The 16,476-nt window shown below is 40.9% G+C and overlaps 1 protein-coding gene across 1 annotated transcript in view, besides 2 other annotated features; it reads left to right on the forward strand.

Annotated features, from left to right (window-relative positions):
• The window catches only part of CNTNAP2 (contactin associated protein 2), a 2,304,198-nt gene that overhangs the window by 1,790,544 nt on the left and 497,178 nt on the right, over positions 1-16,476 (forward strand). The gene's annotated exons all lie outside the window — the stretch shown is intronic.
• Positions 616-1,116: an enhancer, noted in NCBI's record as "H3K27ac hESC enhancer chr7:147605052-147605552 (GRCh37/hg19 assembly coordinates)". NCBI's record gives its function as "activates a minimal SCP1, AML or CMV promoter by ChIP-STARR-seq in primed H9 embryonic stem cells {active_cell/tissue: H9 hESC(primed)}" and the evidence as "EXISTENCE:reporter gene assay evidence [ECO:0000049][PMID:30033119]".
• Positions 1,117-1,617: an enhancer, noted in NCBI's record as "H3K27ac hESC enhancer chr7:147605553-147606053 (GRCh37/hg19 assembly coordinates)". NCBI's record gives its function as "activates a minimal SCP1, AML or CMV promoter by ChIP-STARR-seq in primed H9 embryonic stem cells {active_cell/tissue: H9 hESC(primed)}" and the evidence as "EXISTENCE:reporter gene assay evidence [ECO:0000049][PMID:30033119]".

Raw genomic sequence — 16,476 nt, forward strand, 5'->3', positions numbered from 1 at the left:
CGCGCCCAGCCATGAATGTTTTTTATAATAAATAGCTCTTAAAATGGTCTTCCCTTTTTAGCACAAGAAAGAATGCTCTTGGAGAAATCTTCTTGGTCTTTGAATTCACCAGCACCTAGCAAAGGCCCTCCTTCCTATGTGGATGCTTTAGATATTTGGGAGTGGATGGGGTTGCTTCTAGAGACACTTTCTAAAGCTCTCAGGGGCAGTGAAGAGAAAGTTGAGCTTGATGCGGGTAGACCTTACATCCAGGCCCAGATTTGCCACTTTTGGGGGAGGCTTTTAACCTCTCTGAAATTTAATTTATTATCTGTATAATAAAAATAAATCTTGGCAAATTTTTGTGATCATTAAGAATATAGAATATAAAAGCCTTCTATAAATTATACTATATGGGATAGTTATTTGCAATTCTATTGCATTATTTTAAAATTTATTTTCTTTATTTATTTATTTTGACACAGAGTCACTCTGTCAACCAGGCTGAGGTACAGTAGTGTGATCTAGGCTCACCGCAACCTCTGCCCCCAGTCTCATGGCTCAGCCTCCCAAGTAGCTGGGATTACAGGCACGCATCACCATGCCTAGCTAATTTTTTTTTTTTTGTATTTTTAGTAGAGATGGGGTTTCACCAGGCTGGCCTTGAACTCCTGACCTCAAGTGATCCATCCACCTCAGCCTCCCAAAGTGTTAGGATTACAGGCATGAGCCACCACAACTGGCCCTTATCACAATTCTTAATGATTCCAATTGACTCTTAAATGAAAATAAATGAAAACAGAGCGTGGCAAGTAGGCCCCTTCATGCTCTTGACCTGCTGTGTCGTAGGCCTCAAGTCTAATTCCACAACGCCACATGCAGATGTTATGAAACAGGCTTTACTAGAGAAAGTTATAAATCAGGGATCATCATCAGAAGAGCAAGTACAGGTCTCCAATCCCATCATCCCTCAGGGAGACGTGCGAAAGCCAGGCTATTCCGCTGAATGCACCAAGGGCATTCGTTACCAGGAAGCCCCTGCTTCTCTCACTTCTCACAAAGCAAAAATGACAGCAACTTTGTCAGTAGGGGAAAATCAGATGCATGGGGCACCAGGCAGTCTGGGCATAGGTGCCTGCTGTTTACAAGTGTTGTCTGGGAGTCAGAGCCCCTCCAGGAACAGGGAGGAAGCCAGAGCCCCTTCTTGAAGCTGACTTTGGGTGTAGTCTCTCTAACTAGGAGAAGTGAGGAACACTGTCCAGGCAACCTGGAGTGCACTGTCACGATCATTGCTGTTCAGTTTTTTTGTTTCTCCAAACACAGAGAAGGGCTGGGAGATTATGGGAAATAAAAATGTAGCACATACATCCAAATGAAACTCACATATGTTAAACCACGTTTGTTGTAATGTCAGGGTAAAAATAAAGGTTCTATTAAATCTCATGCTTTTAGATGCTTTGTCCAGTTAAGAAAGCTATTTTCAATAATCTGAATCACAAAGCATCATTGGATTAAGATGAACTAAGACCAAAATGAGGACAAAGTACCCGTGCCACTTCCTTTCTGTGTGATCTAAGTCAGGATATTTCACATCTTTGTTTTCTTATCAGCAAAATAGAAATAGATAGTATAGTACTTCCCAAGTCATGTAAGGATCTTGGTAAATTGCTGTCATAAATGAAAGTTTAAAATTACAGTGTGATATATTATTTTTATTATTATTTGAATGTTGAATGGAACCTTAGCTAAAAATTATTTTAAAATGTCTTAAATTACAGATGCATAAATTGGGGCCCTGAAAAATGTAAATTACTTTCAAAAAATTACAGTAGAAATGAGGAGTAGAAAGAAGACCAAAGACACACATCTCCAAACACCCAGGCCAGTGTTCTTCCACAATATCAGGATCAAGGAAGTTTTTTTAATATTGTTTTTATCTATCTTTTTAATGATTTCAGAATGTAATTTTTAACTAGCTTATATGTAAGCTTTAAATTTAAAGCTTAAACCACAGACCACATTATATGTTCTTTTTCTAAGAACTCTAAAACTTAGATTGAATACTTATTCTTATTTACTGGTGTAAAATGCATAAAAATGGAGCCAGGATAAATGAGATTGCAGCTCAGAGCATGATTGGGTCTCACAACGAAGCTGCAATGGCCTGTGAGTACGATCACCATTTCAATAATTGCCTGATTATCTATGCTGGGAGAAGTTTTGCGCAGTTATTTCTGAGATTGAATGTAATTTAACATTTATGATTTACTATTCACAGCAATAGTAAATATTCCCACCTACAGTGCCAGAATTCTAATTACACGAGTCTTGGTCTCAGCTAAGTGGCCACTGCTGGGTAATTCCTGGTCTCTTGCAGCCTGACTCAATGAGCTAAATCACCATATCTGAAATTAGCAATTCGAAAATGAAATTATCAGGGAAAGAATTGCCATTCATTGCGTGAGTACCCTTCTCTTATTGTAGAATTTCTGGATAGTTATGTCCTGGCCAAGATGGGCACATACATGGTGGAAAATAAGTGAAGTGAAAAGCCGTTAGCACAGTCTTTGTGTTACAATTAGTCAGCAGTTCCCACCTCAACATTAGAAAGGCCAAATACTAGCCGTTGTGCTCTCTTTCGCTGACCCTAAATGGAATTGGCTTGTCTAACAGCCTTTTTCTTCCTGGGCCAAAAATAATCCATGACCAACTTTTATAGCAGCTGAGGGGAGTTAACTAAAAAATATCTTCGATATTTCAAAGCCAGAAACATATTTATTTGGTTGGGTCAGCTTACTATCCAACACCTAATTCTGAATATTTTTAAAAATAATCGTTATAATTTTTTGTCCTTGTTTATAAGAAATTTGATTGAATCTTAGTGACTTTTTTCATGAAGTTTTAGACTGCCTCTTACTCAAAGTGAAATATTTATATATGCATTCTCATTCGTCATGTTGTTTAAATAATAGTAGTTACATGTCAGCCACTGTTCATGTATGTTTCATATACTGTGTCATTTAAACATCTCATTGACTCTATGCCAAAGGTACTACATATTTTGTCTTTATTTTAGAAATGCTCCAGAGAGATTAATTTCTCCCACAAGGTCATATAGTTAAAAAGCAGTAGAGCAGAGATTCAAACTCGGGGCAAGCAACTTTAGACTCATCCTTAGGAATTACACACCAAGACTGTATTAGCCTGTTCTCATGCTGCTAGTGAAGAGACACCCGAGACTGGGTAATTTATAAAGGAAAGAAGCTTATTGGACTCACAGTTCCACATGGATGGGGAGGCCTCACAATCATGGCAGAAGGCAGAGGGAAAAGTAAAGCCACGTCTTACATGGCTGCAGGCAAGAGAACTTGTGCAGGAGAACTCCCATTTATAAAACCATCAGATCTCATGAGACTTAGTCCCTACCAGGAGAACAGTATGGGGGATACCACCCCCATGATTCAATTATCTCCACCTGGTCCCGCCCTTAACATGTGGGGATTATTACACCTCTGGGTGAGATTTGGGTGGGAACACAGCCAAACCATATCAAAGATGTAAGTTCTGTATAAATTTTTCACCTGTGTACTATATACAGCACAATTTCATTTTTTTTCCAATTTTTATTATGGTAAATACACATAAAATGAACTATCTTAACCATTTTTACTTTTACAATTCAATGGTATTAAATGCATTCATTTTGTTGTGCAATCATCACCATCATCCATCTCCAGAGCCGTTTTTATCTAGCAAAACTGAAACGCTATACCCATTGAACAGTAATTCCCCATTTCCCTCTCCTCCTAGCCCCTGGCCAGTTAACCTTAAATAATGAGTTCAGAAAATGTGATTAAATATAGAGTTTATTCCAGCTCAAAGCCTGAGGATAGCCACCAGGGAAACACCAACTCCAAGTGAATGGGGTCAGCTTTCCAAAGTGGGAAAGTTAAGGTTTCACTTACATAGGCAGAAATAGAGAAGGTTAACAGGGTTGCAACATTTGCCATATAAGGCCAGCACAGATGTTACGGTCATTTGATTGGTTACAGTTTGCTATGTTCCAAGGAAGATTGCTTTAACATTCCATAAGGAGGGGTAATGGTCTCGAGGGGTCTTATTTCTGGAACCATTTGGTCTTTTCTAATCATTTACAGGACAGAAATGAGGAAGAGATTTAATCTATAATCAGAGAAGCAGAAGTTGCAGCTGCACGTGGCATAACTCAGGCCACATAACCACATTTCTCTCAAGGCTCAAAATAATGTAAAGTTCCAACCATTTTAAGTTTGAATTATTTGATTTCACACCACCATCGTTCTATTTTCTGTCTCTGTGATTTTGACTGCTCTAAGAACCTCATGTGAGTGAATCATATAGTATTTGTCTTTTTGCAGTTGGCATATTTCACTTAGTATAATGTCCTTAAGTTTTGCCTATTTTGTAGCATGTATCAGGATTTTCCCCCTTTTTAAGATGGAATAATATTCCATTGTGTGGGTAGAATACATTTTGCTTCTTCATTCATTTGCCAAGGGACACTTTTATTTCCACATTTTAGTGACTGTGAATAACGCTGCTACGAGCACGGTGGTACAATTTCTTTTTAACGTCTACTTTTACTCACCTCTGTAGTGCTCCTGATTTGGTTTCTAAAAATCTCTTATTTTAATTTTATATTAAAAGTATTCATTATGACAAATACATTCAAATTATTTTCTGAATGTGACCTGATTTCAAATCCTAGTCCTATTGCTTGCTAGTTCAGTGACCTTCAGCAAGTTATAAAAGCTGTCAATGACTGTTTCCTTAACCACAGCATTTAAATGGCACTCACAGCTACCTCACATGGTAGAAAGGGAGTTTAAATGAGAGGATACTCATAAGGGAGAAGGCACATCCATATTTCACTAGTAAATGCTCAAGAAATATTGATTCCAATTACACCCAAGCACACACAGATAAGGGTTAGCTCATGGGTTCCCCAGGAGCAGCCTCTTCAGTATTCAAAAACAACTCATTGGGCCCCTCTGTTCTGACCTCCTTGCCTGCATGCCTTGCTGCCACCCTGCTGCTGACACTGCCCTCCTGAGATCCTTACTCTGCCAGCTGCAGCTGTCTCAGCCTGTGACAGTCACTGATGCCCTTATGGAGAGATGGAGAGGGCCCCCTACTCAACCTCAGTGCAGTGGAAACGAAGCTATGGCTTTCAGCAAGACTTGACAAGGATTGGAGCTAACAGAAATTTTACACTGAGAGAAACTTGCAACTGCTTCCTGAAATAGCCACTCTTCAAATCCAGGCAGGAGCCCAGCCCCTGAGACCCTGCCAAGCTCCCAGCGAAGCCTCCTATGGGTCTCAACCCTGCTTTCATTAATGAGGCTCCTCAGGCATTTGGATCCAAGCCAAACCTCCTCCAAGCCCCAGAGGAAGAAGAAGTTCTTCTTCATCCCAAGCCCTACCTCAGTTCCTACAGGAGGAACATTTGCTTCTCAGGCTGATTGATAGTGCAATAATTAAATCCCTTAAGGAGGAAATTCCCAGCTTAAGCCACAAAGGTGTGCGTCAATCACCTGGCCTGAACGGGAGCATCGCTGTGGTCTGTTCTGGGACCTGGGTTTGTTGAGTGCATTTCTCCAAGCTAAGATTCCAGTCTTCAGGGACGCCTCCTGTAGGACAACAGTCTAATGCAATGTGTGCAGTGACAATATCAGTCAAGTTTTATTTCATGATGTCTCCTCATAAAGAGAAGAGAAGGTAAAGTCAGCAAGCTCCTCCTTCTATGATTTCATGGGAGAAAAAGCCAAGACAAAAATGTAACACATGTCCAAAGGATAAAAAGGAGCTTCCAGGGATAAGCCAGTTTAAATCCAGATTTATTGGGGGAGGAAGGAGCATCTCTCATACTGCTGGCACAAGGTCCTGCTAAATTTACAGTATTCAACAGAAAAATCACTTCGCAAGGAATATTCCATTTTAATTCCTGCCCCCAAATTCAGGAGCAATATGGAAGTACTTGCCAGGCATGTCCACAGATGAAAAGCCACAAAAGTGATCTCTCAGGAAATAGAGATTTTACCCTCAGTGACAACACTGGAAATCACTTTATAACCACTGCTTCCATTCCACCTGCTCCCACCTTAGACAAACAAACACAAATGGTTTTTACAGCTTCAGATTTTTAGGGCCCAACAACAGGCAGTTCAATGAAGGAAAGATAAAGAAACATGGACAATGGATATTTAAAAAGAATTTCTGTTTCATAGGTTTTAAAAAAGGTTTCTAACATCAGTCTGGAAAACAGAAACCTTAATACGAGACAGAAGGTACTGCACGATGGCAGCTAGGAGCCTGGCTATAGAGTCAGACCATCTACGTTTATGTTCCTCCTCCAACACTCAGCCAGTTAGTAAGACCTGCCTGTGCCTCAGTTTTCTCTTATCTACAGTGGAGATGAAAAGAGCGTGTCTCCAGAGATGATGTGAGAATCAGGGGACCCAAGCAAGCTGAGCATCATTCTTTGTCCTGTCAGTGGCAATGGGACTGGAAACATAACCTTTAGTACAACTGGGTAGGAATGTATGACTGAGGTTACTTTTTTGAGGGCTATTTGGGAATTGCCATCAAAACTTGAACACTACATTCTTTGACTGAATCCTTCACCATATGGCATGTACCATCTTAAAAAAAATATATGTTCTAAGGTGGCATATACCATTTTTTGTAGCAGTCAAAAAAAAAAAATAACCTGTAGACAGCAGAAATGTCCATGAATAGAGTTTCAGAAAATGATGTTATAAGGCTGGCCAAGGAATGAAGTAGATACATAAACACTTGCACAGAAAGATGGCCAAGATGAAAGTGAAAAAAGCAAGTTGACAAATAGCAGGTATAATACGAGTCTGGTGTTTCTTTTTTAAAAAAAAAATTATTTAGGCTGGTCGTGGTGGCTCACGCCTGTGATCCCAGCATTTTGGGAGGCCAAGGTGGGCAGATCACCTGAGGTCAGGGGTTTGAGACTAGCCTGGCCAACATGGTGAAACCCTATGTCTACTAAAAATACAAAATTAGTCAGGCATAGTGGCACATACCTGTAATCCCAGCCACTCGGGAGGCTGAGACAGGAGAATCACTTGAACCCAGGAGGCAGAGGTTGCAGTGAGCCAAGATCGCATCACTGCATTCCAGCTTGGGTGACAAGAGCGAAACTCCATCTAACCAAAAAAAAAAAAAAAGAAAGAAAAAAAATTATTTTTGAGAAGGGTCTCACTGTGTTGCCCCAGCTGAAATACAGTGACATGATCTTGGCTCACTGCAACCTCGACCTCCCCAGGCTCAGGTGATCCTCCCACTTCAGCTGGGACTATAGGCACAAACCACCACATCTAGCTAATTTTTTGTATTTTTTGTAGAGATGGGGGTCTTGCCATTTTGCCCAGGCTGGTCTCGAATTCCTGGGCTCAAGCAATCTGCCTGCCTTGGCCTCCCAAAATACTGGGATTACAGTTGTGAGCCACTGTGCCCAGCCTGGCATTTCTCTAATGTGTATAATCCATAACCTTTATACATGCATACATAATTTCTAGAAAATCTACAAAAGAAACAATTACAACGCAATAGATTAAGGATGTAGGACTTTATGGAGGACCTGGCTTGTCCCATTGTACATCTTATAAGCTCTTTGAATTTTTTGCCATGAACACATTTAACCTGATCAATTTAAGTATTTAAAAATAGTTTAGAAATTAAAATAAAAAATAAGAATCCTAGCCAGCATCCCAGTACATAATAAAACAATACTAAATTCTTATTTTAAGAAAAATCAGATCAAAGACTAATTTTCACATCATCAACAACAAAACCAAACAAAGCATCTTACTGGCTCTCCTGGCCCCAATATTGGAAGGAATTTCTCAGCAAGCTGGAGGATTCCTCCGCTCAGCGGGCGCCGTGAAACTGAGAATATTCATACCATTAGCCCTGTAACCACATGCAAAACAAAATAGTTTTTTCATTGATCTGAGTTCTGTGGAACTCATGTTTGTGCTCTTAAATCTTTTGGAATCCTTCTGGGGAACAATCACTTGACATCCCAATACTCAGTGGTCTTATTCGTGCATATTATAGGAATATGATATTATGAGGAGTACTGGTATCAGTTATGACACCAGTTGCTAAACTGACCAGAAAGATTGTTGATATTCAAATAAATGTGTGTGCATGTGCTTGTCTGTGTGTGTGTGTATAAAATAAAATGTTAAAATGGACAGCTATCAATATATTTTCTTTCTAGATACATAAACGGAGATGCCCTCCTGATCTCATGAAGGCCATTTTCATTAAGTTAAGCTTTGTTCATTTTCATTCAGTTAAGCTTTGTTTAAAAAAAAAAAAAAAAGATATTGCTTTACCAGTGATCTGGGTGGCGGGCGGGGGTGAAGAAGAAGAAAAAAAAGGAAACTCTTAATTTTAGTCCTATTTAGCCCCAAAGCATGTGTTTCAGTATTAGAGCATGGCCAGAGCAGTTTTCAAAAGGGTTACACCATCCCGTGTACGTTACTCCTTATACTGACTCCACTGTGGTTTACTTGGCAGATTTGAGCTATGCTGAAGTTGCCTCTTAACAGGAGATTCCTAGAGCGTCTAACAGCTCAACTCTTTTAGGAGCTTAACTACTTTTTAATATGTGGGTCAGGGTTAAGAGCCTCAGGCAAGGGCTTCTGCCCTCTTTCGTTAGGAATTTACCTTGGGGATGAACTAAAAAACTTCAGGAGGCTCATCCAGGCAGGTTCCAGATAGCTCAAATTGCAAAGCTACCTGGAAAGCCACTGTGTTTCTGCAGCCCTGTGAGTGAAACACCTGTTATTGGCAATGGGGAAGGGGAAATGTCCTGTCTCTCCCAGTTCCCCAAAGAAGCATAAAAATGATGTATTATATACTGTCTCAGGGACATTTTGGTGCCAACCCACTTGGCACAGCATAGAATCCTCCTGTCACCTCATGGATTGTATCATGACAGAAGGGTAATTGGGCACCGGAGAAGATGTCAGCAGAGTGTCAATACGGTTTGGCCACTGCCCCCAAATAATATTGATGACAGCAAAGAGAGCGATTAATCAGGTGTGATCCTGTCAAATGTTCAGAGTGTGCTGTGGGTACTAGAAATAGATATAGCCTACCAACAAAATGTTAAATGGACTTAAACAAAATAGATTATTTAGTCATTTTGAGAAAAGCAGAACTAAGATTCAAAAGAGCTTTTTTTCTGAAAAAAAAAAAAAAAAATACAGTGTATTTCCCATTAGTATTTCTCTCCACTTGCTTGAAAAAGAGGGAGAGCTGTTATGTTTTCTGAAAAAAAAAAAAATGCATTCTGCCCAAAAAATCAATCATGGAAAAAAAAAGATCAAATTAAAAGAGATGTCATGGGATCTAAAGAAAAGTGCAGACGCAGCAATTGTAAAACACGTTATAATTGTGGACCTATCTGTTTATTTATTCTGTGTCCCACTGAAAGTTCACCCTCACACCCTCCCTACCAGGCCAGCCATCTCCTCCCATTACCCCCTCTTGATATTAATGATGCTCGCTCACTTGTAGTTTCCCACGTGTAAAACCCCATTGCCTTATGTATTATCAGTTGTTCACCATTTTCCATACATGGATTCTGTCTCCCCTGGGCCTTTCACAGACACCTGACCATCTGTGACCATGGCCTTTCTCCTAGTTCTAAATCTAAGCAATGGTATTGCAACAATCTTCCAAAATAACTTCCAGCCTTAAAACTCTCTTATCCTACAACTCTGTCTATAACTGTGGCCATCACTGGCTTCACATTAGAATCACCTGGAAAACTTAAACTATTACTTATCATTAGGCCCTGCCTCAGACTAATTAAATCAAAGTCTCTGGAGATTATTTTTGGCCATCTTTGATTTTGCAATTTCCTGAGGTTTCTAATGTGTAGCCAAGGTTAAAAACCATTGATATAGGGCTAGGTTAAGCTGCATATAACAGAAAAATAACTAAACAAGAGTGCTTAAACAAGATGAAAGTTAGTTCCCATGCATGTAAAGGAAGTCCAGGCTCCTTCCAGCTCTCTGTTCTGGTGTTATTCAGATTTGACATCCTCCTCAGGATCCAACATGGCTTCTAGAGCTCCAGCCATTATGCTTCCATTCCAGGCAGAAGGTAGAAAAGAGAGGAAAGAGAGCATGCCTTTTCCTTCCAAGAATGACTTTACATACCACTTCCATTTACGTATCATTGGCTGGAACTTTAGTTAACCACGACTAGCAGCAAAGATGGCTGGGTTCTGTAGCCTTTAACTGGGCATGAATATGCCTTCCTAAAAATGAGCATTCTGTTACCAAGGAAGAAGAGGAAAATGAGCATTAAGGGGCAACTAAGAGCCTCTGTCGGAAGTGTTAATTCTTCAAAGGGGCCCTGCTAGTCTCCTGTTCACACCTACAGTAGGTCCCTGTGATCTCCAGAATAAAGTCCAGACTCCTGCAGTTCTGGAGTCCCTCCTCACCTTGCATTCTCTGCTTTACCTCACTCACACTGGGGCCATTGTAAGGATATTTGTATTTTCTCATCGCTGGTCCTTTACCTACACCTAAAATAACTCTTCACATATCTGCGTTTTCAACATCATCTACTTCTGCAGAACCAGCGCCAGTGCTGCTTCCCAAGGAAACCTCCCTGCCTTTGCCCACACCCCTCATGTCTAGCAAAAGTCCATGCATAAAAGGCCTGCTTCCTGAGGGTCTCAAAGCAAATTACACTTATTTTAAAGTTATTTTCTCTCTTATCTGCAATTAGATGCCTGGGTATCTGAGTTCTCTCTCAAATTACAAGCTTCAGGAGGTCAAGCACCATACCTCATGTGTATTATAAGTCATTCATGCCTGTCACTTAGCAGCTAGTCAACATCTATTTGCAATGTAAGCCAAATGTGTAGCACTTTAGAGAATCCGGTTTTTTGTATGTATTTATAAACTTTCTTTTTGCATTGAGTCATAAACCCACATAGACATACACTCATCTCTGCTTTAGGCTTTGTAGATGGTTTTAGTTCACATAGCAAAAATTGGAAAGTTACTTTATATTCAATAGTGAGGTAAATCATCCAAGTCAGTTTTTAAAAAGATAATGGGTGTGTACTAATATGTATGTCCATACTCACATAGACACTGACACGTGTATACAAGTATATTACATGCACATCCTACATTACTAAATGTGATGTATAATGACTTTATTAATTTTTTTGGAAGCATGCTAGTTGTCTTAGGCTAATTTAATGCCCGGTATTAAGGTGAAATCAATTACTACCTTTTTTCATCAGGACTAGAGGAGGAAAAAAACAAACAGAAAAACTACCCTTATGCAGGAGGAATAATTCTAAAGACAGAAATACAGGATGTTTGGAAATGACCATCTGTGACGATATTTACCTGCTTGTCCCTGTCAGCCCTGGGAATGGTGTGTCTTTACCTTAGGTTACTATATTAGGCAGAATAATGGCCCCCAAGATGTTCACATTCTAATTCCCAGAACCTGTGAAGGTCCTACTTCATGTGGCAGAAGGGACTTTGCAGATGTAGTTCAAGGTACAGACTTTGAGATGGAGAGATTATCCTGGACTATCAGTGGGTGCCCAGTCAAAGCACATGACTTCTTAAAAGTGAGAAAAGACCCTTTCCTGGCTGTGATCAGAAAGAAATGTGATGACAGTAGTAGGCTCAGAGAGATGCTATATTGCTGGCTTTGAAGGTGGAGGAAGAAATCCATGAACTAAGACATAAAGGCATCCTATAGAGGCTGAAAGAGACAAGGAAATTGACTCTCACAGAGGCTCCAGAAAGGAACACAGCCCTGACACACCTTGATCTTAATACAGCCAGACCCATGGTCTGAATTCTAATCTACAGAACCATAAGATAATATGTTTGTCAGGTTTTGTTTTTGTTTTGAGACAGGTCTCACTGTGTCACCCAAGCTAGAGTGCAGTGGCGCGATCACAACTCACTGCAGCCTCAACCTCCCTGGGCTCAGATGATCCTCCCACGTCAGCCTCCTGAGTTGCCAGGACTATACGCATGTGCCACCATGTCTGGCTACTTTTTCTTTCTTTTTTTTTTTTTTTTTGAGACAGAGTCTTGCTCTGTCTCCCAGGCTGGAGTGCAGTGGCGCAATCTCTGCTCACTGCAAGCTCCGTCCCCTGGGTTCATGCCATTCTCTTGCCTCAGCCTCCCAAGTAGCTGGGACTACAGGCAGCCGCCACCACGCCTGGCTAATTTTTTGTATTTTTAGTAGAGATGGGGTTTCACAGTGTTCACTAGGATGGTCTCGATCTCCTGAACTCGTGATCCGCCCGCCTCGGCCTCCCAAAGTGCTGGGATTACAGGCGTGAGCCACCACGCCCAGCCTACATTTTCTATTTTTTGTGTTTTTCTCCGCGTTGCTCAGGCCAGTCTGGAACTCCTGGGCTCAAGTGATTCACCCACCTTAGCCTCCTAAAGTGCTGGGATTATAGGCATGAGCCACCGTGCCCGGCCACATTTCTGTTGTTTTAAGCTACTTCATTGGTGTTAATTTGCTAGGCAGCAATAAAAAATTAAGTTTCCTTCCTACGGTGGTGATGTCATCAAAAAGACCCCGTAAAGCTTTATTTTTTCCTCTCACATTGGTATAGAGTGAAAGTTCACTGGTAAAATAGCTTTGCAGAAACCTTAAAAAGTATGCCTTGGCCGGGCGCGGTGGCTCATGCCTGTAATCCCAGCACTTTGGGAGGCCGAGGCGGGCAGATCACCAGGTCAGGGGTTAGAGACCAGCCTGAACAACATGGTAAAACCCGTCTCTACTAAAAATACAAAAATTAGCTGGGCGTGGTGGCACATGCCTGTAATCCCAGCCACTCAGGAGACTGAGGCAGGAGAATCACTTGAACCTGGGAAGTGGAGGTTGCAGTGAGCCGAGATGGCACCACTGTACTCCAACCTGGGTGACAGAGGGAGACTCCGTCTCAAAAAAAAAAAAAAAAAAAAAGCATGTCTCTGAAAGTGATTTTGTGGCTAACACCCTGTTTCCCTGCCTGTCCATCACTTGCTGATGCTGAGAGCTTCCAGCCTACGAAGAGGATGTGCAGGGCCTTCGTTCACTGATAACCAGCTCTACCAGTGAAGGACTGGTTGTCTGTGCCTACCTGTGATCAGGTCTCCTTCAAGTAGATGATTATATAGCAGTTGGCAGGAATTTTTTAAAACTCAGAAACATTCATTTATACATCCAATCATTCAGCTCATGTCTGAGTCCCTGCTATATATCAGGCACAGTCAGACTATCTGGCAGTCCTTGGAAACACAGGGTGGGTGGGTAGTTTTAAGTCATATGCCTCCTGCTGAAAGACAGATTTAAGAATGTGTCTTCACAATCCCTACACCACTGCAATTTCACGTATGTGCTTCTGCTCCTGTCTTTTTTTTTTTTTTTTTTTTTTGAGATGGAGTCTCACTCTGTCACCTAGGCTGGAGTGCGGTGGCGTGATCTCAGCTCACTGCAAGCTCTGCCTCCCGGGTTCAAGCAATTCTCCTGCCTCAGCCTCCCAAGTAGCTGGGACTACAGGCACCCGCCACCACGCCCAGCTAATTTTTTGTATTTTTAGTAGAGATGGGGTTTCACCATGTTAGCCAGGATGGTCTCCATCTCCTGACCTTGTGATCTGCCCACCTCGGCCTCCCAAAGTGCTGAGATTACAGGTGTGAGCCACCACGCCCTGCCTCCTTTTTTTTTTTTGTTTAACAGGCAGAGAAATGATTAGATAATGAAGACGTTATTTATTTTTTATTTTCATAATAATGAATTAAAGAGGATCTTATGGACATTCTGAGCTTTCCCATTGTAACAGCCTCATTTATGGCAGACGCCATTTGCCTGCTGTCCACACCGTACTTAATTTGGCCTCAATCTGTATCTTTGGTGTATTAATCTCCTCATGATCCAGATAACCTCTTCTCCATTAACAATGGGGTTTTATAGCTAGGACAGTGCCTGGAAAGTTATAAGCATTATTATTTTCTATTATTATTATTTAGGAGATGTTTTGGGCAGCTTACTACATTGCACAGAAGCTATCTCATTTCCTAGGGACTTTGATGCAATAGTCAATTGTAAAATAGACTTTTCCAAAGTCATTCATTTCATCCATTCCTTTAAACACCTAATTTTTGAGTTCCTGTTATGCACAAGGTAGTCTGCTAAGACTAATGACAATGATAGGTGAATGCCACCCCTGCTATTATCATCTTTAGGGCTTTGAGAAGTTACTTGACTTTTCTCACTTCAGTTTCTTCATCTTTAAAATGAGAATAGTAATATTACTGACCTTGTGAAGATCCCCATGTTTATGCAATATGGGTATTGTTTTATCAGGCCTTTGTATTTCAGAAGTTTATAAGCCTCATGAACAGGAGCAGGGGACCAACTAGACAAGGAAAGAGGCAGATCTATTCAACAAACATGTGTTGAGTACTTACTATGCACAAAGGCAGGATATCAATATGGGGGGTAGGAATTCAATGGTGAGTAACGCTGAGACATGTGGTGGGATTTTAGAGCACACATTTTGCAAATCAAAGAGAACTTGTGAATCCCTGTAACAGCCCTAGTGAAAATTGTTAAGAATGATTCTGGCAAGTCCCATATTAGCCATATACAAATTATCCCCATTATAGACTTCCCATAGTGTATATCTCTAGTATAAAAAGCATTACAATAATCACATTTAATCCTTGTTACATTTTAAATACGCATGTCGATGCAAATTACAAATATCGAAAGGAAAATGAAGACAGAAGGAAAATAAATCAAGAAATTCATTTAGAGAAAGAAAAATCACAATATAAAACAGCCAATCTTTCTTGTTAAGAGCAGCCCTCACATTTCTAAATGTATGAATTGGTTTTGTGTTGACTGTGCCCCAACCCTGCTTATAGTATGTCAATATTGGGAGAAATCCATCACTGACACTAACATGGCAGCCCTCTGAGGAGTCAAGCCAGGGGCATCTAGAGGGGCAATGCCCAGGCTTCACTCCCCCTCCTTTTGAAAGGCTCAGGTTGCCTTATAGTCTTCCATAAAAATACTGAGGGCTTTTCCAGGACTGCTCACTGTGTGATAGGAACTTACATCTATAGGGCATGTGGTAACATGCAACTGAAAGCTTAGATTTTTTTCTAGTGATGGGTCACATTCTACACTAGGTCCATCTTGCCATTGGTGCCCTGAAGTGCTTTGTCTAGGCCAACTGATGCAGTCCACAGAGTCTAAAGACCACTCAAACTACTCATAACGTTTCTTGTGGCTGCCCATCCATTCCAGTTCTAGGAGTAGTTTAGACCATGTTCATCTCTATTAATTATCTCAAGTCTTTATGCAGAAACAGCAACAAAAATAGGCTATAGAGGTATGAGAAGTGGTTTTGAATTGTTAGTAAAGAGAGGATGCAAAAATCAGTTTGTTTGTTGTCATTTATTTCAAGCTCAATATTAGATGCCAATGTTAGGGACTATCAACATACAAAGAACATTTTTTAAAAACACTCTTAATGACACCTTAGTCAAGTGTCCAGGTTATAGGAGTTTCCAGCAAGCATCAGCTAGACCACACCTGAAGAATTATAAATAGTACTAAAAAACCAAAACATGGAAAATGAGGTCAGGAATTTGATAAGTGTCCAATATAATGATAATGAGCAAAAAGGAAGGAAGGAAGGGAGGGGAGGGAAGGGGAGGGGAGATGAGACCACTGTCCATGCAATAATCCCTTTCCCAGTGTTAACAGTTGAATTGTGTCCCCACAAAAGATATATTGTGAACGTGACATGTTTTTGACATAGAGTCTTTACAGATGTACTCAGGTTAAGATGAAGTCATTATTAGGTGGGCCCTAATTCATTATTACTGTTATCCTCATGAGAAGAGGAAAGACACAGGGACAGACACACATGGAGAGGAGAATGCCATGTGAAGACCCAGACTCAAGGAGAACACCACGTTGGGAGGGAGGCAGAGATTTAAGTGATGTGTCTACCTTCCAAAGCATGCCCAGGGTTGCCTGCAACACCAGAAGCTAAGAGAAAGGCCTGGAGCAGATTTTCCCCTAGGCCCTTCTCTCCGTTTAAATTTATTTTTAAAAATTTTTTAGAGGTGGCATCTCGGTCTGTCACCCAGGCTGAAATGCAGTGGTATAATCACAGCTCACTGCAGCCTCAATTGCCAGGGCTCCAGCAATCTTCTTGCCTCAGCCTCCGAAGTAGCTAGGATTATAGGCATGCACCACCATGCCCAGCTAATTAAAAAAAAAAAAAAAATTTCTAGAGATTTTCCTTTGTAGGAATTTTCTGTGTTGCCCAGGCTGGTCTCAAAGTCCTAGGCTCAAGTGATTCTTCTACCTTGGTCTCCCAAAATACTGGGATTACAGGTATGAGCCACC

This window comes from Homo sapiens, chromosome 7 (genome assembly GCF_000001405.40).
Source record: "Homo sapiens chromosome 7, GRCh38.p14 Primary Assembly".
In the NCBI taxonomy this organism is placed as follows: domain Eukaryota; kingdom Metazoa; phylum Chordata; class Mammalia; order Primates; family Hominidae; genus Homo; species Homo sapiens.